Here is a 24,279-nt window from a genome sequence, read left to right as displayed (position 1 = left end):
TACCATAACCTCAAACACCAGGGCTCAGTTGAGCCTCCTGGCTCAGCTTGCTAAGTAGGTGGAACTACAGGCACCTGGCACCATACCCAGCTAATTATTTTTATGGTTTTGTAGAGACAGTGTCTCTCTTTGTTGCCTAGGCTGGTCTAGAACTCTTGGTCTCAAGCCATCCTTTCACCTTAACCTCCCAAAGCTCTGGGATTGCAGCTGTGAGCCACTGTGTCTGAACCACATTTTTCAATATTTTTTAACTTCATACAAATGCAATCAAATAGTAAACATTTCTTGTGCTGGGCTTTCCCCCCGCTCTATATTATGAGTTTCAACAATGTTAGTGCAAATAAGAGTAGTTTGTTCATTTTTTCTGTTATCTGTTATATTACATTTGTGGTAGGTAAAACCATAAATGTGTCCTACTCCGAAGATTTTATGCCTTACTCCCCAGTATTGGAAACGTAATGAGATATTACTCCCATGAAAATTTTACCTTACACAGCAAAACAGATTTTCCAGATGTAATAAAAGTTACTAATCAGTTGATTTTCAGTTAATCAAAAGGGAGATTATCTGAGTGAGCTCATTCTAATCACAGGACCTCTTTAAAAGCTGAATTTTCTCCAGCTATTCCTAGATGAGGACAAAGAAATTTAAAGCATAGGGGAAATTTGACATGAGGATTTTTCAATGTTGCTGACATTGAAGGACCTGAAAATGGGCTCAAGGACCTTAGAGATACCTGGTGCTGCCAGCCAGGAAGACAATGAGGACCTCAGACCTTCAAACACAAGATATTTCATTTGCCCAACAGACTGAATGAGCTTGCAAGTAGATAAATCTAGAGTCTCCAGAAAACAGGTTAGTGTGATTCTAATCAAAGAACTTCATGTAGCCAATCCAAATTTTGACCGACTGAACTGTAAAATGATAAATGGATACCGTTTAAATGGATCAATTAAAGTTTTGATAATTTGTTCCACCAAAAACTAACACAACATTGTAACACTCTCACAAGTTATACATTGTAATGTTGATGAGTATAGGCATAGGAGTGTAAATGCTGAATATTAAAATACACCATTCTACTGGGTATTCAGTAGTTTATCATTGGGGTTTATTTAGCATTGTATTTATTGTTAATGAGGTTGAAAATCTCTACTTGGATATTCTGTTTTCTGAAATGCATGTTCAAATGTCTTATCTATATTTTTAGTAGAAGCTTTGTTTTTACCTGAAATGTAACCTCTTAAAAATATTTAAATGTTCAACAAATTGTTTTTGACTAAAGTCACAAAGTTTTACAGCCAGTCTCTAAAGCTTCTGAATCTTACCTGAGACTTTAAGCCAGTTGATTAGTAACATTCATTTTCCTGTCACCACAGCCCCTGACAGCCACTGTTCTACTCCTTGAGTCTGTGGGTTTGGCTATTTTGACACGTTATGTAAGTAGAACCATGCAGATTTTTTATTTCTGGGACTGGTTTATTTAACTTAGCATAATGTCCTCAAGGTTGATCTATATTGTTATATATTGCAGAATTTCCTTCTGCAATATTAAAATCTGAATAGTGTTCCATTGTCTGTATATACTACATTTTCTTTGTCAACTTGTATTTCAATGGACATTTGGGTTGTTTTGACATCTTGGCCTTTGTATATAGTGCTGTAATGAACATGACAGTGCTAGTATCTCTTTGAGATCCTTGTTTAAATTATTTTGAATACCCAGAAGTTGGATTGCTGGATAAAATAGTACTTGTATTTTAAAATTTTTTGAGAAACCTCCACACTGTTTTCTATATGTAGTAGTTCGTTCTCACACTGCTATAAAGAAATACCTGAGACTGGGTAATTTACAAATAAAAGAGTTTTAGTTGGCTCATGTTTCCACAGGCTGTACACGAAGCATGGCTGGGGAGGCCTCAGGAAACTTATCATGGCAGAAGGTGAAGGGGAAGCAGCACATCTTACATGGCCAGAGAAGTAGGAAGAGAAAGAAGGAGGAGGTGCTTCACACTTTTAACAACCAGATCTCATGAGAACTCACTCACTATCATGAGAACAGCAAGGGGAAAACCGTCCCCCATGATCAAATCACTTCCCACCAGGCCTCTCCTCCAACACTGCATATTATAATTTTTTTTTTTTTTTTTTTGAGACGGAGTCTCGCTCTGTCGCCCAGGTCGGACTGCGGACTGCAGTGGCGCAATCTCGGCTCACTGCAAGCTCCGCTTCCCGGGTTCACGCCATTCTCCTGCCTCAGCCTCCCGAGTAGCTGGGACTACAGGTGCCCGCCACCGCGCCCGGCTAATTTTTTGTATTTTTAGTAGAGACGGGGTTTCACCTTGTTAGCCAGGATGGTCTCGATCTCCTGACATCATGATCCACCCGCCTCGGCCTCCCAAAGTGCTGGGATTACAGGCGTGAGCCACCGCGCCCGGCCTGCATATTATAATTTGACATGAGATTTGGGTGGGGACACAGATCCAAACCATATCAACATAGTAGATGCGTCATTTTAGTTCGCACTAACAGTACACAGTTTCTTTTTTTCATATTCTAACAGCGGTTGAAATAAAAAAAAATAGCTATGCTCACAGGTGTGAGATAACATCTCACTGTGGTTTTGATTTAGACTTTCCTGATGATTGGTGGCATTGAGCATTTGTTTTAATAAACCTGTTGGCTATTTGTATGTCTTTGGAGAAATATCTATTTAAGTTCTTTGCCCATTTGTAAATTGGGTTATTAGTTCTGTTTTGCTTTGTTTTTTGTATTGAGTTGTAGGAGTTTCTTATACATTTTGGAAACTGATTACTTATCAAATATGCATTTCAAAAATATTTTATTCCATTATTTAGACCTTTATCCTCTGTTATTTTCTTCTTTGTGCAGAAGCTTCTCAGTTTGATGTAGTTCTACTTGTTTAATTTTGTTTTTGTTGCCTATGCTTTTAGTGTCATATGCATAAAATAATTTTCGAAACAAGTATTCTGAAGCATTTTCCATATATTTCCTCCTAGGAGTTTTAAAATTTCAGATTTTACATTTAAATATTTAATTCATTTCTATTTGATTTTTTTATATGGTGTAAGATGAGGATCTCACTTTTTCTTCTTCATGTGAATATCCAATTTTCCCACCAGAATTTATTGAAAAAACGTAATTTTTTGATCATATATTATTAACTTCCTTGTTGAAGATCAGTTGACTATATCTGTATTCTGTTCTATTGGTCTATATATCTGTTTTTATGAAAGTACCATACAATTTTGGTTATTGTAGCATTGTAATATATTTTGAAATTAGGAAGTGTGATGCCTTCAGCTTTCTTTTTCTTTCTAAAGATTGATTTGGATAGTCATAATTCTTCAAGGTTTCATACGAATTGTAGAATTGCTTTCATTTCTATAAAATATGCCATTGAGATTTGACAGGGACTCCATTGAATCTGTAGATCCCTTTGGGTAGCATAGATATTTTACCAATATTAAGTCTTCCAATCCACGTACACAGGATGTCTTCCCATTTATTTGTGTAGTTTTAAAGTTCTTTCATCAATATTTTATTGAGTGTAGAGCTCTACATCTCCTTAGGTAAGTTTATTCTTCAGCATTTTATTCCTAAGTATTTTATTCTTTATTCCCTCATTAATGGTATTGTTTTCTTCATCTCGTTTTTCAGATTGCTTGTTGTTAATATATAGAAACACAACTGCTTTTTGTGCATTGATTTTGTAACCTGCAGCTTTACTAAAGTCATTTACCAGATCTTACAGTTTTGTTTTTGTGTTTAATTTAGTCTTCAGAGTTTTCAATATATAAGATTATGTCATCTGGAAATATAAACAATGTCCTTTTTTTTTCTTTCCATTTTGGATGCTTTTCTTTTTTCTTGCATCATTGCTCTAGTTAGGGCTTCCAGGGCTATGTTGAATAGAAGTGGTGAGTGTGAGCATCCTTGCCTTAGTCCTGATTTTAAAAGAAAATATTTCTGGTTTTCACCACTGAGTATGATGTTAGCTGTAGGCTTTTCATATATGTCTTTATTATGTAGAGGTATTTTCCTTCTGTGCCCTGTTTGTTGAGAATTTTAATCATAAAACTGTTTGAATTTTGTCAAACGTTATCCTGCATCTGTTGATAAAATTATGTGATTTTTTAATATGTATTTGTATCAAGGATATTGACCTATAGTTTTCTTTTCTGGTGGTGTCTAGCTGGTTTTTGTTTCAGAATAATGCTGGCCTCATAAAATTAATTTGGAAGTTCTCCCTACCCTTCAGTTTTTTGGAAGTGTTTGAGAAGGACTGGAATTTATTTTTCTTTAATGTTTGGTAGAATTCACGAGTAAAGCCATCTGTTCCTAGAGTTTGCAATATACATTTGAACTAATCCAAATGCACTTTCGGATTATCTTGAAGGATAATTTGCAGGGTATAGAATTCTAGGCTTTTTTTCCCCCCATTCAGCAAAATTCACTCTACTTTTTGTCAGGCATGACTTCTAAAGAAAAATCAGATGTTATTCTTTTCCTTGCTCCTCTATAGGTAAGAATTCCCTACACCCCTGGCTTCTTTACACTATTTTTTATATTTGATTTTCTATAATTTGAAAATTACGTGGTTAGATGTAGTGGTTTTGTTTTGTTTTGTTTGTTTTGGCATTTATCCTGCTTGGAGTTTTCTGAATTTCCTGAATCATGATTTGGTGTCTGACATTAATTTGAGTAATAATCATTAATGTTTCAAATATTTTTTTCTGTCCTTTTCTGTCTTTCTTCTTTTTCTGGAACTTCCATTTTGTGTATGTTATGTCTTTTGTAGTTGTGTCATAATTCTTGGATATTCTGCTCTGTTTTATTTTTCAGGTTTTTTGTTTTCCTTTTGCTTTTCGATTTTCATGATTTCTATTGAGATATCTTCAAGCTCAGAAATTCTTTCCTCAGCCATTCCCAGTCTACCATTAAACCCACAAAAAAACATTATTTACTTCTCTTACAGCATTTTTGATTTCTAGAATTTATTTTTGTTATTTCTTCGGATTATTATTTTTTTTTCAGAGATCTGATGTTTCTCTTGCCTATGCTGGTGTAAAACTCTGGCCTCAAGTGATCCTCCAACCTTGGCTTTCCAAATTGCTGGGATTACAGTTTCTTTTTTCTTAATTAGTCTAACAAAGAGTTTGTCTTTCTCTTTTTTTTTTTTTTCAAAAAAAGTTTAGTTCTGTTGATTCATTCACGTTGTTCTCCTTTTTATTTAATTTACTTCTGCTCCAGACTTCTCAGCAGAAACCCTACAAGCTAGAAGGGATTGGGGCCCTATCTTCAGCCTCCTTAAACAAAACAATTATTAGCCAAGAATTTTGTAACCAGTGAAATTAAGCTTCATAAAAGAAGAAGAGATACAGTCTTTTTCAGATAAACAAATGCTGAGAGAATTTGCCACTACCAAGCCAGAACTACAAGAACTGCTAAAAGGAGTTCAAAATCTTGAAACAAATCCACCAAAATAGAACCTTCTTAAAGCTTAAATCTCACAGGACATATAAAACACAAACAAAAAATCAAGGTATTCAGGTGACAAATAGCAACATGAATGGAATAGTACCTCACATCTCAATACTAACATTGAATGTAAGTGGCCTAAATGCTCCACTTAAAAGATACAGAATGGAAGAATGAATAAGAATTAACCATCAAGTTTCTGCTGTCTTCAAGAGACTCACCTAACACATAAGGACTCACATAAAGTAAAGGTAAAGGGGTGGAAAAAGATATTCCATGCAAATGGACATCAAAGGCAAGTATCCCTCACCCCTGTTCCACCCTTTCCCCCAAATCCCCAAAGTCCATCATATCATTCTTATGCCTTTGCATCCTCATTGCTTAGCTCCCACTTATGAGTGAGAACACACAATATTTGGTTTCCCATTCCTGAGTTACTTAGAATAATGGTCTCTAATACCCTCCAGCTTGCTGTGAATGCCATTATTTCTTTCCTTTTTATGGCTGAGTAGTATTCCACTATATATACATTATATATTTATAATATACATAATATAATACGTATTATATATTATATAATATATAATACGTATTATAATAAAATATAATTACGTATATTATATAATACGTATTATATATTATATAATATATAATACGTATTATATATAATACGTATTATATATTATATAAAATACGTATTATATATTATATATAATACGTATTATATATTATATATTATGTAAAATATATATTATATATTATATATTATATAAAATATATATTATATAAAATATATAATAGATAATATTAAATATATATTATATAAAATATATATAATATATATATTATATATTATATATATATAATTTATATAATATATATATTATATAAAATATATAATATATATAACATATATTATATATAATATATAATATATATTATATAAAATATATATCTATATCTATATCTATATCCATTATATACATTATATATTTTATATATATCCTACTATATATAATATTTTATATATATTCCATTTTCTATATGTGTATGTGTATATATAGCTGCTGATAGAATAGAAAAACAACATCAGTAAGGTCAAAGTAGATGTGAATTAGAAAATTAACATAATAGTATTTCATTTTATATATATATATGTATACACATATACACACACACACATATAGTATGTATTATATACTATATACATATGGAACCAGACCAAATGCTGATCAATCAATGAGTATATAAATAATCTGTGGTATATATATATATATGAGATATATATATATGATATCTCATATATATAATGGAATACTACTATGTATCCAGAGGTTTTGATAGATGGCATCACTATTATTGTTCACTTCAAGGAATTTTTAATATCAATCTTGATTTTCTTGTTTACCCAATGATCATTCAGGAGCAGGTTATTTAATTTCCATGTATTTGCATGGTTTTGAGGGTTCCTTTTGGAGTTGATTTCCAATTTTATTCCACTTTGGTCTGAAAGAGTACTTGATATAATTTCAATTTACTTAAATTACTTGAGACTTGTTTTGTGGCCTATCTTATGGTCTATCTTGGAGAATGTTGCATGTGCTGATGAATAGAACGTATATACTGCAGTTGTTGAGTAAAATGCTCTGTAAATATCTATTAAGTCCATTTGTTCTAGGGTATAGTTTGTTTATTTATTTATTTATTTTACTTTCTTCTTATTATTATTATTATTTGAGACAGATTTTCATTCTTGTTGCCCAGGGTGGTGTGCAGTGGCACAATCTCTCAATTCACTGCAACCTCCGCCTCCTGGGTTCAAGTGACTCTCTTGCCTTGGCCTCTTGAGTAGCTGGGATTACAGGCATGCACCACCATGTCCAGCTAATTCTTTGCGTTTTTAGTACAGATGGGATTTCATCATGTTGGCCAGGCTGATCTCGAACTCCTGACCTCAGGTGATCCTCCTGCCTCAGACTCCCAAAGTGTAGGGATTACAGGCATGAGCCACTGCACCCGGCCTATTTATTTACTTTTTGAGATGGAGTCTCAATCTTGTCACCCAGGCTGGTGTGCAGTGGTGCAATCTTGGCTCACTGCAACCTCTGCCTCCTGGGTTCAAGTGATTCTCCTGCCTCAGCCTCCCAAGTAGCTGGAATTACAGGCACTCATCCCCATGACCAGCTAATTGTTTTGTAATTTTAGTAGAGATGGGGCTTCACATGACCTCAGGTGATCCATCTGCCTCAGCCTCCCAAAGTGCTGGGATTACAAGCATAAGCCACTGCACCCAGTCGTGTCTAGTTTAAATTCATTGTTTATTTGTTGGCTTTCTGTTTTGATGACTTGCCTAGTGCTGTCAGTGAAGTGTTGAAGTTCCCCACTATTGTTGTGTTGCTGTCTCTCTCACTTCTTAGGTCTAGTAGTAACCATTTTATAAATTTGGGAGCTCCAGTGTTAGGTGCATGTATATTTAGGATTCAAAAAGATCAAATATTTCCTCGAATTTCATCGTCACGTTGTCTTTGACCAAGGAGTATTACTTTGTGGACATTTCTTAACTTCCAAACATTTAAGAAGGTGGGAAACTTGCAACTGTTTAATTTCTGGATTAATAGCATTATGGCCACAGAAATTTTTCTCCAGTTGAAATTATTTGATATGCATTATGATTTATTCTATTTCTCATTAAATAGATAATTTTTGTAAACATTCCCTGTGTGCATTAAATCTCTTTCCTTCTGCATTTGTAAAAATGTTCCTCTGAATTTTTCTGTAAGGTCAATTATGTTAATTTCCTGATTCACATCTTCTTTAACCTTACTGATGTTATTTCTCTATTCTATCAGCAGCTAAAAAACATGTTAAAACTCTTCATTATAGCTTTGCCTCTTTGGCTTCTTTTAAAAATTCTGGAAGATATGCTTCACACATTTCAATTTAGGTTATTAAATGCATACACATTTAAAATTATTTTAGCTTACTAGTAAAATATTTTTATAATTAACAAGTCTTTTTTATTTCTAGCAATGCTTTATGACTTAATGTTTATTTTATTAGCTTAATATAGCTATGAATTAATTAAGATATTAATATATGCTATCTTTTGCTGGTTGGGATGATATAATATTTTCTCTCCTGTATTTTTATGCTTTCACAGGCTAATGTTTCAAGTGGCTCTCACAGGAAACATTTGAGTTGAGTTTTATTATTTTACCCAATCTGATAATATTTGATTTTTAATTGGAAGAACTTAGTCCATCTACATTAAGGTGATAGCCAAAATTATGATATTAAATCTATTACCTCATTATATATTTTCTATTTCTACTTTCAGTTTGGTATACATTTACTTTCTTGATCTGTTTAAGATTATGTGTTTATGTGCATGTAAGAGATTTTATTTTGCAGAGAAGTTTTAGGTTTACAACAAAATTGAGTGAAAGGGAAAAATTTCCCATGTATCTACTGCCTCCACATATGCATAGCTTCCCCATTATCAACTTTCCCCACCAAGGTGATATATTTGTTACAAGTGATGAACATACATTGACACATCATTGTCATCTAGAGTCCACAGTTCATATTAGGGATCATTCTTGGTGTTGGACAAATGTATAAAAACATGTATCTACCATTGTAGTATCATAAACAGCAGTTTTACTGCCCTAAAAAGCCTATGTGCTTCACTTACTCATCTATCCCTCTCACCAATTCCTGAAAACCACTGATCTTTTTACTGTCTTCATAGTTGTATCTTTTTGTAGAATGCCATATAATTGAAATGATACGGTATGTAGTCATTTCAAATTGGCTTCTTTCACTCAGTAATATTCCTGTAAGTTTCCTTCATGTCTTTATAGCCCATATCATTTTAATATTGAATAATATTTCAATGACAGAATGTACAGGTTTATTTATCTATTAATTTTCAAAAGGACATCTTGGTTACTTCCAAATTTTGCCAAAATAGAAGAATAAAGCTTCTATAAAATTCTGTAAACGGATTTTGGTGTGGACATAGTTTTCAACTCCTTTAGCTATATATCAAAGTAATGTGATGGCTGTATCATGTGGTAAAAATACATTCAGTTTTGTAAGAAACTGTCAAAGTGTCTTCCAAAGTGGTTGTACTATTTTGCATTCTTGCCAGCCATAAATGAGAGTTCGTGTTGTTCCACATCTCTGCCAGCATTTGGTGCTTTCTTTTTTATTATTTTTTTACACATGTAGGTTAACATTTTATTTATTTATTTATTTATATTTATTTTTATTTTTTATTATATTTTAAGTTTTAGGGTACATGTGCACAATGTGCAGGTTTGTTACATATGTATACATGTGCCATGTTGGTGTGCAGCACCCATTAACTCGTCATTTACATTAGGTACATCTCCCAGTGCAATCCCCCCCCCTTCCCCAACCCCACAACAGGCCCTGGTGTGTGATGTTCCCCTTCCTGTGTCCATGTGTTCTCATTGTTCAATTCCCACCTATGAGTGAGAACATGTGGTGTTTGGTTTTTTTGTCCTTGCGATAGTTTGCTGAGAATGATGGTTTCCAGCTTCATCCATGTCCCTACAAAGGACATGAACTCATCCTTTTTTATGGCTGCATAGTATTCCATGGTGTATATGTGCCACATTTTTTTAATCCAGTCTATCATTGTTGGACATTTGACTTGGTTCCAAGTCTTTGCTATTGTGAATAGTGCCGCAATAAACATACGTGTGCATGTGTCTTTACAGCAGCATGATTTATAATCCTTTGGGTATATACCCAGTAATGGGATGGCTGGGTCAAATGGTATTTCTAGTTCTAGATCCCTGAGGAATCACCACACTGACTTCCACAATGGTTGAACTAGTTTACAGTCCCACCAACAGTGCAAAAGTGTTCCTATTTCTCCACATCCTCTTCAGCACCTGTTGTTTCCTGACTTTTTAATGATTGCCATTCTAACTGGTGTGAGATGTTATCTCATTGTGGTTTTGATTTGCATTTCTCTGATGGCCAGTGATGATGAGCATTTTTTCATGTGTCTTTTGGCTGCATAAATGTCTTCTTTTGAGAAGTGTCTATTCATAGCCTTTGCCCACTTGTTGATGGGGTTGTTTGTTTTTTCTTGTAAGTTTGTTTGGAAGTTCTGGCCAGGGCAATCAGGCAGGAGAAGGAAATAAAGGGTATTCAATTAGGAAAAGAGGAAGTCAAATTGTCTCTGTTTGCAGATGACATGATTGTATGTCTAGAATACCCCATCATCTCAGCCCAAAATCTCCTTAAGCTGATAAGCAACTTCAGCAAAGTCTCAGGATACAAAATCAATGTGCAAAAAATCACAAGCATTCTTATACACCAATAACAGACAAACAGAGAGCCAAATCATGAGTGAATTCCCATTCACAATTGCTTCAAAGAGAATAAAATACCTAGGAATCCAACTTACAAGGGATGTGAAGGACCTCTTCAAGGAGAACTACAAACCACTGCTCAAGGAAATAAAAGAGGATATGAACAAATGGAAGAACATTCCATGCTCATGAGTAGGAAGCATCAATATCGTGAAAATGGCCATACTGGCTCAAGGTAATTTATAGATTCAATGCCATCCCCATCAAGCTACCAATGACTTTCTTCACAGAAGTGGAAAAAACTACTTTAAAGTTCATATGGAACCAAAAAAGAGCCCGCATCGCCAAGTCAATCCTAAGCCAAAAGGACAAAGCCAGAGGCATCATGCTACCTGACTTCAAACTATACGACAAGGCTACAGTAACCAAAACAGCATGGTACTGGTACCAAAACAGAGATATAGATCAATGGAACAGAACAGAGCCCTCAGAAATAATGCCACATATCTACAACTATCCGATCTTTGACAAACCTGACAAAAACAAGAAATGGGGAAAGGATTCCCTATTTAACAAATGGTGCTGGGAAAACTGGCTAGACATATGTAGAAAGCTGAAGCTGGATCCCTTCCTTATACCTTATACAAAAATTAATTCAAGATGGATTAAAGACTTACATGTTAGACCTAAAACCATAAAAACCCTAGAAGAAAACCTAGGCAATACCATTCAGGACATAGGCATGGTCAAGGACTTCATGTCTAAAACACAAAAAGCAATGGCAACAAAGCCAAAATTCGCAAATGGGATCTAATTAAACTAAACAGCTTCTGCACAGCAAAAGAAACTACCACCGGAGTGAACAGGCAACCTACAGAATGGGAGAAAATTTTTGCAATCTACTCATCTGACAAAGGGCTAATATCCAGAATCTGCATTTGGTGCTTTTAGTGTTCTGGATTTGGGCCATTCTAACAGGCATGTGGTGATATTTTATTGTTAGTTTAATTTGTATTTTTCTGAAGACAAACAATGTGGAGTGCCTTTTCATATGATAATTGGATCTGTATGTCTTTTTGGTGAGGTGTCTGTCAAAAGTTTTCGCCCATTATAGAATTGGTTTGTGTCTTTATTGTTGAGTTTTAACAATTTTTTTGTATCTTTTGGATAGCAGTCCTTTATATGATATGTTTTTTACAAATATTTTCTCCCTGTCTTTGTCTTGTGTTTTTATTCTCTTGACAGTTTATTTCAAAGAGCAGATATTTTAGAAATGTTAATGATCACCAGCTTACCAATTCTTTATAGATTTTACGATTGGTGTTGCATGTAAATATATATATTTACATATTGTATATATAAAAATTTAGATCTGCACTCCATTTTGTGTTTATTTTTACGAAGGGTGGAAGGTCTGTGTCTAGATTCATTTTTGTGTGTGTGTGTATGTACATGCCAGTTGTTGCAGCATTGTTTGTTGAAGATTTATCTTATTTCCCTTGTATTACCTTTCCATCTTTGTCAAAAATCAGTTGTCTATATGTCTGTGGGTCTATATCTGAAAATTCTGTTCTGTTCCATTTATCTGTCTACACTTTCACTAAAACTATATTATCTGGATTACTACAGCTGTAAAGTCTGTTTTGAAGTCAGATACCATCAGTTCTTCAACTTTGTTCTACTTCAATCTTGTGTTGATTTTTCTGGGTCCTTTTTCTCCATATATAAACTTGAGGATCAGTTTATCATTATCTACAAAATAACTCTGTAGGATTTTTATTGGGATTTAATTGTATTTAATGTATTAATACCTTAGTTTATTTATAGGTCAAGTTGAGAAGAACCAGTATCTTGACAATTTCCGAGTCCTCCTATCTGAATATAAAATATAGTTCCATTTATTTAGTTTTTCTTTAATGTCTTTCATCAAAGTTTTATAGTTTTTCTCATATCTTGTACATATATTCTTAGATTTATATTTAAGCATTTAATTTTGGGGGTACTAATGTAAATGATTTGTGTTTTTTTTTAATTTCAAATTCTCTTTATTTATTGCTAGTATATAGAAAAGTAATTTATTAGTTCCAGGACTGTTTTTCTTCTTTTTTTTTGGTAAATTCTTTTATTTTCTACATAAACAATCATTTCATTTTTGAGAAAAATCAGTTTTATTTCTTTTTTTCTCATTCTATATACTTTTAAATTTTATTTTCTTGTCTTATTGCAGTAGCTAGCATGTTCAATATAACACTGAAAAGCAGTGATGAGAGGAGACTTTTGCCTTGTTTCTGATCATAGCAGGAAAGTTTTGGTTTTTTTACAGTTAAAAATTTTGTTAGATGCAGGTTTTTGTAGTTGTTCTTTAACAAGTTAAGGAAAATCTCTTCTCTTTCTATTTTACTGAAAGTTTTTATTATGAATTAATATTGCATTTTGTTAAACACTTTTCTGCATCTACTGACATGATTACATAATTTTTTTATTTACTTACATCACTAAACTGTAGTTATGTTATATCAACAGATATGATAGATTACGTTAATCAGTTTTTGGATGTTGAACCAGCTTTGCATAAAGGGAGTAAATCCCACTTGGTAGTGGTGTATAAGTCTTCTTATACATGTTGGATTCAACTTGCTAATATTTTGTTGAAGATTTTGCATCTATGTTTATAGTAGATATTAGTCTATTAGTTTTCATTTCTTATAATATCTTTGGTTTTGATATTACAGCCTCCTAAATGAGTTAGGAAGTATTTCCTCTACTTCAATATTTAAAGAGATTGTAAGAAATTAGTACAATTTCTTCCTAACATGTTTAGTAGAATTCACAATTGAACCCAAATTAGCCTTGTGCTTTCTGTTTTTATATGTTCTTATTTATTGGTTCAGTGTCTGATATAGTTGGGATGTTGTCCCTGCCCAAATTTCATGTTGAAATGTAATCCCCAATGTTGGAAGTGGAGCCTGGTGGAAGGTGATTGGATCATGGGAGCAAATTTCTCATGAATTGTTTCAGTACCAACCACTTGGAACTGTACTTGAGATAGTGATTGAGTTCTAGTGAGATCTGTTTGTTTAAAAGTGTGAGGCAGCTTTCCTGTTTGTCTGTTTGTTTTTCAGACTTTTTTCCCTTTGCTTTTCAATATTGATGGTTTCTACTGAGACATCTCCAAGCTCAGAAATTCATTCTTCAGCCATTCTCAGTTTACCACTAAACCCATCAAAAACATTCTTGATTTCTCTTACAGTGTTTTTGATCTCTAAAATTTATTTTTGTTATTTCTAAGAATTTTAATCTCCATGTACAATGTCCATCCGGTATTACATGCTGGGTCCTTTATCCATTATAGCTCTTGGCATCTTAATTATAGTTATTTTAAATTCCTGTCTGATAATGCCGACATTTCTGCTATATTTAGGTCTGTCTCTTTAATTTTTTATTTAATTTTATTTAATTTTTAATTTAATTTGCTCTATCTCTTTAATATTTTTAATATGTCTTGTAATTTTTTTCTTGATGGCTAGATAAGATGTACTGGGTAATAGAAAGGCTATAAATAGGCATTCAGTGATGTACTGGTAAGGCCTGGGAGAGTGGGAGTGTTCTATAAATCTTTAAGTGGGTCTGTCTTTTATTGAGCTTGTACCTCTAGGCTGTGAGCTTCACATGTGTTTCTTAGGGCTGTTCCCCACTTTGGTGGGACTCAGTCACTAGAGTGTTTCTTTTTCTTTTTTTTCTTTTTTTTTCCTATATGGAAGGCTAAAGCTGACTAGAGCTGAGTAATTTTCATTCTCCAAGGTTAGACTTTAATAACCCAGCAGGTTAGGCTCCGGTTAGTTTTTTCTGAGAGCAGAGCTTGTTAAGAACAGAATGCTCTGGCATATTTTTAAATGGTTCCTTTACCCCTCTCCCTCTAGAGGTACAAAAGGTTTTGTTGTTTGTTTGCCATCAATATTCATCGTGACAACCCGGTCCAGCTCTTAGCGGTAAAAATCACAGAAGCATCGGAGCTCCTGTCTATAGTCATAGTGTCTAAAGAGACACTATGATTGTGTCTCTCTACAGATTTTCTTTCAGGCTTGTGGATGCTGAGCCTCCAGTAACTCAGTAGTTATAATTCCAGTTCTCCTGCCTCAACACTTGTTCCTGCAGAGGTTAGGGCTATCAGTCTTTCCAATTTGGGAGCAAATCGTTTTCCCTGTGACCACACCTCTCTGATAGAGCTAAAAGTAGTTGATTTTTCAGTTTGTTCAGTTTTCATTTGTTTTTAGAATGCAGAAACAACTAACAGCTTCTTACATGCCAAACCAGAAAAAATGTGGGTGGGTGTTTAAATTATTATTATTTTTAGTTATTTGGGACATCACATACACTTCTGTTATTTTATTTATTACTCTGAATTTAATGCTTTGCAATAAAGCTTTATGTCATACAGAAATGTTCTAGGGCTGTGCTGTCCAATGAGGTAGTCATTTGCCACATATGGCTATTGAGCACTTGAAATGTGGCTAGTGTGACTTTTTAATTAAAGTTTAATTAATCTTCATTTAAATGTAAATAGCAACTAAACTATTGAAAAGAATAGCGTCAAAACTATAATCTGAAACCTTGACATATCATAATCTAGTGCAATTTTGTTTTTTTATCTTATTCACTTATGATATTTAGTCCTTCAGAAACTTTAAATTATTTACTACCTTTCTACTAAATTAAATACATTCATATATTTACATAAACACCGCCACATGTGCAAACATATATATGTGCGTTTATGAGATAATACTTTTGTATTTTCAATGGTGTGTATATAAACAAAAATGTATGTAAAACATACATATATATATATACACACATACACATATGTATGCATATGTATGTATGTGTGTACAAGTTTATTTGCAATTTCATTGCTGTTAATTTCATTCTGCATCCTTGAACTTTCATTTGGTGTCATTTTGCTTCCACTTAAAGCACTTTTTATTATTTCTTTTAATGAAGTTTTTCTTGTGACAAAGTCCTGTTAACTTTTGTGTGCCACCTTTGTTCTGGAGGGATGTTTTCCCTAAATATACAAGTCTTTCAGCACATTGTAGATTTATGTTTTATTTTCTCAGTTACAAAGTCTAAATATTTCTCCTTTGAAGATAGTCAACACTTTTTCCTTTCCTTAGATGTTCTACAAATTTTTAGTGATGTGTTTTTGCATGTAGTTTCTTTTTATTTGTTGCCTTGAGGGTTTTTTGTTTTGTTTGTTTTTATTTTTGTTTGATTTATTCAATATGTGCTTAGATTTGTTTCACAAATTTTGAAAACTTCAGGTGTTACTTCTTCATATATTACCTCTTTTCCATTCTCTCTTCTCATTTTAGCATTTTGAATAATTAGATGCTTGACCTTCCTATTGTATACCTTATCCTTGTAACATCTCTCTACTTCATGCATTTATTTCTTTGAGCTTTATTTTGGATATTTTCCCTTCACTTATATTCCAGTTCACTAATTCTTTTTCAGAGATATCTATTGTTTTCAATCAAGTTTTATTTTTAATTGTGGTTATTATTTTGTTTGCTGTCCTAGAAATCTTACTTGGTTCTTTAAAATATCTGATAAGCATTCAAAAAATAGTTGACAGCTCCCTAAAAACTGCTTTAATTTTGTATTTTAGTTTGCAAACATAAGAAGTGTAGTTTTTCCAAATTCTGTGTAGTATAGTTCTAATTTCTAGCTACATATAGTTATTGTCTATTGTATGTAATGATTCTTATTCATGTTGCCTTGCCTCTCTGTGTCTCTAGTTATTTTTGGTTAAGTTTGAAAAATCATGACAAAAAACATGTGACCTATGATATTGTTTATTGACTACTTTTTTTTTTCTTTTTCTTTTTTTTTTTTTTTTTTTTTTTTTTTTTAGATAGAGTTTCTCACTGTCACCTGGGCTGGACTGCAATGGTGGGATCTCGGCTCACTGCAACCTCCACCTCCCGGGTTCAAGTGATTCTCCTGCCTCAGCCTCCCGAATAGCTGGGATTACAGGCACCTGCCACCATGCCCAGCTAACTTTTTGTATTTTTAGTAGAGACAGGGTTTCACTATGTTGGCCAGGCTGGGCTCGAACTCCTGACCTCATGATCCAACCGCCTCAGCCTCCCAAGGTGCTGGGATTACAGGCGTGAGCCACCACACCTGGTCTATTGAGAACTTTTATTTGCTCCTTTTTGGTGCCCAGGGGTGCTAAAACCTTACAGAATGCCTTAATCCAGTTTTGAAGATTGAACTATTTCTACGGTGGCCTAGAAACAAGTTACTCGATATTAAGCCAAAGTTTGCACAAGTGCCTGCTTATTGCTATTTAATTATTGTCCCAATGATGTTAATAGTTTGGATCTCTACTCAGGATATGAGGGTTTTACTAAAACACCACACAGGTGTGCCTTGAATGACAACATTTATACCCCAAGCGGATGACGTTGTAAAAATCCAATCTCTCAGTTCTACTTCTGCATTGGCAAATAGCGAAGAGCAACAGTAGCCACAAAAATCATGGATTACTAATCTGGGTGTTTCTCTTCTGCCTTCTGCTTGATCGTGGCCTGATAGCTTTGGAAACCAAAACAGGCAAACACATGAACAAATAAAACCTTACACACTCTTCTACAAAACCCTGTGTATAGTGAAGCCTGTACCTAGAACAAAAATTCAATGGAATTATGCTGACTGATGGGATACCAGCATAATCTCTGGAGCCGGGAAAAAGACAAACTACCAAAGATCCCACACTTTCCAATTTTTCTCACAGTAATGATAATCTAACGGCTGTCAAACATATGAACTTCAGGATGAATAAAATATCTTAGTGGCTTACTTCAGATAGATTTCACTACTTGTTACATCTCCATTTATTTCTTGAGAAGATAATGAGTCATAGAAGAGACATTCCAGGAATCTAACATTGCCACTATGATTTTGACATAAGAATCTTAATGTAACTTTATTATAATTATTCTCTGAATGGAAAGTAGACTCTTAATTTAAAATTATCTCCTAAATCAAAATGTTCTTTCTTATTCAGACAAATGACTTCTATAATTTATGTCATATTCTTGTGTTTGTCTGATGTCTCCTATACTATTTTATTTCAAAAACATTTATATTCTGAATATAAAACAAAATTTGTGTATATATATATATATGTGTGTATATATATATACATATATATGGAAATATTTTCTGTGCATCAAACACATAGGAATTTTTAAACCAAACAATTTAGGTAATTACATCTTCAAAGACACAAATTGTAAAATTAATGATAAACCTTCCCTCTACCTTTTGTTGAAGCTTATTCCAAAGCAGAGACTTGAATGATTTTAATTGGACAAAACAGCCCACATAGTAAGAAATTATTATGTACAACATTCAAATGAGTAATCAATTAAGAATTACAAAATTAAAACCAGAAAAATAAAACAATCTTCTCCTGTGGAAGGACATCATATTGAAGTCTTTAAAAACCCTGCTGTGTTGCATACCAGGCTTGCTCCACTAAAATGTAGAGTTGTGATTAGATAATCAAAGCTTTGAAGATATTATTCCGCCAAGTGAGAGACCTTAATAGTATAATGAAATAATTGATTTTCATTAATTATTTAAAGGTTGGTCAAAAAAGGCAAGATTACGCAATGAGTTTTGAATTTTCTGAATGAAAACAGCCTATGACATATATCCCCAGCAAAGCAACATGTGTCTATGACATCCTGGGCTAGCCTGTCCGTTATTTAGTAAACTATGAAAAAGAGGCCTTTGTGACAAAGGCTGGTAGGCAGAGTGGAAAAAGCACTATTTGCTAAGCTTAAGGAGTTCCTACTTTAATTTCATGAAAGAAGAAAATTAATGTATGTTTGCAATAATGTGGATTATGTAACAGTGTGGATTATATCATATGCAGTCCTAGAATGAAATGCAAAGACAATAGCCAGCCTCATGTATTCCAAAGGGTTGACATAGGTGGTAATTAGAGCATTTAATGTGTAAATGCTAATTAACTCATTTAATCTGTAACATAGCTCTCCTATGAGTTAGAAAATGCTGTTCCTTTATTCTTATATAAAAATGAAAAACACAGAAGCTTAATAAAATTGTCTAGGGTGTCCTAAAGTTAGCAAACACAAGAGCCAAAATTGGGATCCACCTAATCTGGCTTCAGAGTCAGCTGTTTTAAAACTGCATTTGAGTTATTTTTAAGGAATAAGGAAATGTGTAATAAAAGATCAAGAGAAAGCCACCCAGGCTTTCTTGAGATGAGACAGCTAGCGTCATGAAAAAGTAAGATTCCAGAGAGTGCGGTCAGAATTCACTGAGCACCATCAGGAAAACATCGATGCTGCTTGAAGAAGGAACACACAGTCTCCAGCTCTGTGAAGCTTTTCCTGAAGAAGAGTAGTCGAGGATATGGGCGGACTTGGAGAAGAAAGGAACAGCATGAATATTCAATTGACTTTCTAGCTCTCTGACTAGGAAGCATACTTTGTATTTTTAATATCATTTGGGAGGTTAATAAGGAGCAAGTTGCTAATGGAAACAACCAATTTCTCTGAGCTTAACTTCACATAAATAAAACCTGATGCAGACGCAGTGCTACATTTCAGTACAGTCCCAGTGCACCTCCAGGACTCCAGCTCATTTAGGTTATAGCACAAACTCTGGGAAAACACAGTTTATCTGTCAAAATAGCAGGTTATGCTGAGGTAAGTGCATGAACACAACATAACTATATTTCTAACACACACACTCACATCTGACTTGGATGAGCTGGGGGTTTTACTCATCACAGTTACTCTGGAATCTAGAATATTGGAGGCTTCATTTTGAAATATACTTCCAAGACTGTTGAAATAGGAGGATAGACTATGGAGAATTGCATACTAGCTCTTAAAGCTTCCAATTAGGAAGGAGATCCACAATTTTTTTTGGTCAAAAGAAGTAATATGGTCATGCCTACTTTCCAAGGGGGCAGAGACGTGAAATGCTCTAATGCTTGGAAATACATGGTCATTGATACAAATGTCTGCCATGCACAGAGTAAATAGGATACAAAAGCCCTGGAGATTTTGTGGCCTTTTGTCAGCCAACCAGGCATTAAAAATGGGCCAGAAAGTGAGTATATTCTAGGTGGTGTAACCTAATGGGTTTTCTTTCAGAAATAACATAATATAATGTATTGAGGATCTTGAATCACTCAATTCAAATAGATGGTAGAGATTTCCATACTGGAATAATAATGAGTCTTTTTTCTCCTTTATGCAGACAGTAAAGATTGTTAATTGACTGATTCACCAATTTTTACTGTATCAACTAACAGTGGCTCTTTGATGAAAGAAACAGGAGCTGAGAAGAAACCAAACTTACAACATCTGCCAGGACCAGTGATCTACAAGGGCTTGAGATCTGAGCAATTTCTTCAATAACTCAGCCAGGCATGAGCAAGAACACTTGAGGGCAATGAGCTGTTCAGCTACTGATGTATTACAGTTGGCACCTGTGGAGAGACACCTGAGGTGAGAAATGAGATGCAATTTCCAACACATAAATAAGTTCTGCCTGCAAAGTCTTTACTCAGAAAAGAATGCACAAAATAACCTTATGAAGCTATGTTCCTTTCCTTTGTCAAATTGATTTTGTCATCCAAAAATAGTCATGATATTTTCTTTTCACACAGTAAGTTAAAACTTCAATTAAAGCCTCTTTTAATTACATAAATATATACTTCACTATATAGTGATTGGACAAGAACAAGTAAATAAATCTCATATCCCATTTTTACTTAACTGAAGTAAGTAAAATATAATATTTAAAAGAAATTATTATCTTATGACCATTTAGGAGGATCATTCAACTAGATAGATAATTTTAATACTTTAAGAATGGTTGGAATTTGGAATGTTCATTCCACAAATTCAAAAATCCCTGATGGCTACAAGCAGCAAATTTAAAGACATTCATATCATACATATTTCTTCTGTATGTCCTTTGGAGACATTTATTCTTAGCATAAAGTGAGAGCTACTTTTATTATAAAGACAAGAAATCTGAAATTATGCAGCTCAAAAAATAACCATTTGATTACACATGGAAAATACCTTTTAAAGATTTTAAAATATATCATTTCATTTTTAGAAAAGAAAGGTATTACATGTCTTAGGAAAGCAATAGGAAAAAATATTTAAACAAGCTAAAGTCAATATTCCTTAAATTTACATTTCCCAGATACAGACATAGGAGATCTGAGTTCAAACCCTAACTCTGCCACTTACTCTCCATGGAAGTTTTGCCAAGTTATTTAATTTCTCGGAGCTGCATATTTCACCTGCTATTTTTATGAATATTTGACATATATTTTTACAAATTTGTACTGTGAATTTTGACCACAGACCTAAATAAGAGACACTCTAGTATACTCTATTATTGTATAGGCAATAATACATTCATATTTGAGGCCATAGCAAAAATTTAGTAGTGTATAGAGACACAACTGGCAAAGTGATAGGGGAAAACCATGGCAAAAATGAAGAAAAATGAAAAGTTCTAGAGGGACCATAGGTTTCGTTTATTAATAATTGGTTGTAAATATTGATTGTATTAGTGTAAGACAAGTTTTTTTTAATGTGGTGGTTTTTAAAAGAAAAAAAAGAGATCTCCCCCCTTCTCATTTTTTTAACCTTACTAATCCAGGGGTTGTGTTATTGTTACACACACACACACTCACAGACATACATATTAAAGCTATCAGTTCATCTGATTTCTAGTAGTTAATTGATTCCTAGCAATAGTGACATTACATTAGACAACCTGAGAAACTAGATTCATAAAAATTGCCAAGAAACTACTTTTGCCATTTTCTAAGTAATTTAGCATTTCTAGACCAAAGGAGGACTAACAATCTTTGCCTTTGACATGTAACAAGTAACTTTTATCTTCATGGGAAATGCCATGAAATTATAGACAGGCTTGAACTGTGATTGAGAAACAAAAGGCCACCTTCTTATTTTTTATTTATTCAAAATAAATCTGAGGTCACTGTGGAATAATTTCCTTTAACCACGTGAGGGTATGTGTTACCTTTAAGGAGGATAATAGTCGCCTTTGTCTCCTGTCTCAAGCCTGAGCAAACATAAAATCAGTAATATACATGCATCTCTATCAAAGACAATAGGTTGTTCACTGATATTCAGTTTTCTTCTATTTCAGGGCATAAAATAAAAGGTACCTCCCTACCAGCTTCAAGTTAGGTAGAATCATGTGACTTGCTTCTATTAGTAAAATGTGAGTAGATATGGAGTGATATTCCAGTTCTAAGAATTTAATGCAAGGGCTCCTGGGATTGTAAAAGCCTAGGCTGATGAGGAGGTGGAATGCAACACTTTTCCAAGCAGGAAAGTTGGTCTGGACAGTAAGCATGTACAAAATATAAGCCTCTGTTCTCTGAATCATTGAGATTTGGAAGCTCATTTGTTTACATGGTTCAGGCAAACCAGTCCTGACTTATATAATCCCTTTCTCCAGCAGCTTCCAGAGTATCCTCCTGCCTATCAGTTTTTTTTTTTTCAAGAAAGGTGATCAATAACTCATCCTTTCAAACTAAGTGCATCCAGCTATTCTTTTCCTTATATATGCTACAGTTCTAAAACAGCTGATTCATGAGAAGATAAATGAAAAGCAAGAATTATTGTTTAAATATACAAAATAAGACAACTTCCAAACAGAAGTTTAATTTGATATCATCTTTTCAGAAAAGAAATTAATTGAAGCCTCAGTTTTCCTTAGGCAGAATTCTTGATTACTCATAAAATGAGCCTAACATGCTCTTTCCTTAAATCTGGGCATATTTGCTCTTAGGTAGCTCTATATACAAAAAAGGCATTATGGATGATTTCTGCAGTATTCCCTGAAATGGTTTTGCTACTCTCTCACCTCTATCACCAGTATTTATGGCATTACTGTCTATTTCTATTGCTTTTCTGTTTTAAAAACATAAAATTTCTACAGCTGCTCCTCCAAAAATAAATTATTCAGCAATTTATTGAATTCTTAATAAGTATTAGACCTGGGATTAGGCATCAATTTGAGATGGTATTTGGTGCTATTGTACAGATCTTAACAACATGTAATCCTTCTCCTCAATAGTTTACAATCTACTTAGACAGCAAAGCTGTATGTAATAAATGCCCCCCACAAAAAAAAAAAAAAACAGCCAAACAAAAAACAGCAATCAGTATATCTAACCACATCAAACCCGTAATATTGCCAAATAAGAAACTGCATGGAATGCTGTTTCTCTGAGCTGGCATTTATATTTCTAAGGCAATAAATGAGTCACTTATCCTCTCTTGATGTCTTAGGCTCCATGTCTGTAAAATGAGAGATTGGACCAAATAATATCCAAGGTTCCCACAAACTCTGCAAAACTGTAATTCAGAATTATAAAGCACACGATGGTACTGATATTTCTATCTTTAGAATTTGTTTATTCTATCCACAGAAATGGTGTTTCTGAGTCCTAATTTATCCATTTTAATATGCGGTATACCCAAGTATTAGTTCTGAGTCTGGACAGATTCAGCGTTTGGTTTTACACAACAAAGGTAAATGTATATTCACTCAGAGCCTTCCAGCATGATGTGATGCTTAAACAGGATTACCATTTAATGTCTGGATGTTGAGAAACACCTAGATAGAAAGTGACCTATGCTTACAGGCAACCCAAGGCACAGGAGATAGCAATGAGGCTTCCCAGACTGATGAAGACTTGATTCACCAAATTTATTAGTGGCATGTTAAAAATGATATAGAAAGAAAATTCTTTGATCTGAAAATTAGAAAAGCCCAGTACATAAATCACTGAAAATACTACCCCTTTTCACTGATAGCTTTGGAATGCTATCAATGTCCTTTCTTCCCTATATTAATGTATTATAACTAAAATATTTCTGTCGAAAAGGCAACCTCTAATCGGTTGCCTAACTAAAGTTTTTTTTAAATTCCTCATCAGCCAATTCTGACTTGAATCACTGTATCTCCTCCATAATGAAGTATGTCTCCATTTCTGCTGCTTATATTTTAAATATTTATTCTAATATTCAGTTGAGGGAAAAATTATATTGAATTTTGGCAAAAAAGAAATGACTACACATATAGTCTTTGAAAGTTGCCAGCAGGGTATTTGCTAACCATAATTTGTGTTGGATTTTAATGAGTACTTTAGTTGATTTGTTATCTTATCTGCTGGAAATATTTAATTCTTTTTTTTTTTTTTGTAAGATACAGAATCTCACTCTGCTGCCTAAGCTGGAGTCACTTATAGCTCACTGTAGTCTTGACCTCCCGGGCTCAGGCAATTCTTCTGCCTCAGACTCCCAAGTAGCTAGGA

General features: G+C 33.7%; 1 long non-coding RNA gene across 25 annotated transcripts in view; it reads right to left on the bottom strand.

Moving 5' to 3' along the window:
- Positions 1 to 24,279, bottom strand: part of LOC102724542 (uncharacterized) — a 368,996-nt gene that overhangs the window by 281,725 nt on the left and 62,992 nt on the right. For 20 of the 25 annotated variants that reach the window (NR_187701.1, NR_187699.1, NR_187692.1 and 17 more), the window contains exon 2: positions 20,262 to 20,391. The exons of the other annotated variants lie outside the window; for them this stretch is intronic. This is a non-coding gene — a long non-coding RNA (uncharacterized LOC102724542). The remainder of the gene's footprint in view (positions 1 to 20,261; positions 20,392 to 24,279) is intronic. 25 annotated transcript variants of the gene reach the window in all.

The sequence above is a fragment of the Homo sapiens genome, chromosome 2, assembly GCF_000001405.40.
Source record: "Homo sapiens chromosome 2, GRCh38.p14 Primary Assembly".
In the NCBI taxonomy this organism is placed as follows: domain Eukaryota; kingdom Metazoa; phylum Chordata; class Mammalia; order Primates; family Hominidae; genus Homo; species Homo sapiens.
Note: the sequence above shows the minus strand (reverse complement) of the source record. Positions and strands in the feature narration are given on the sequence as shown.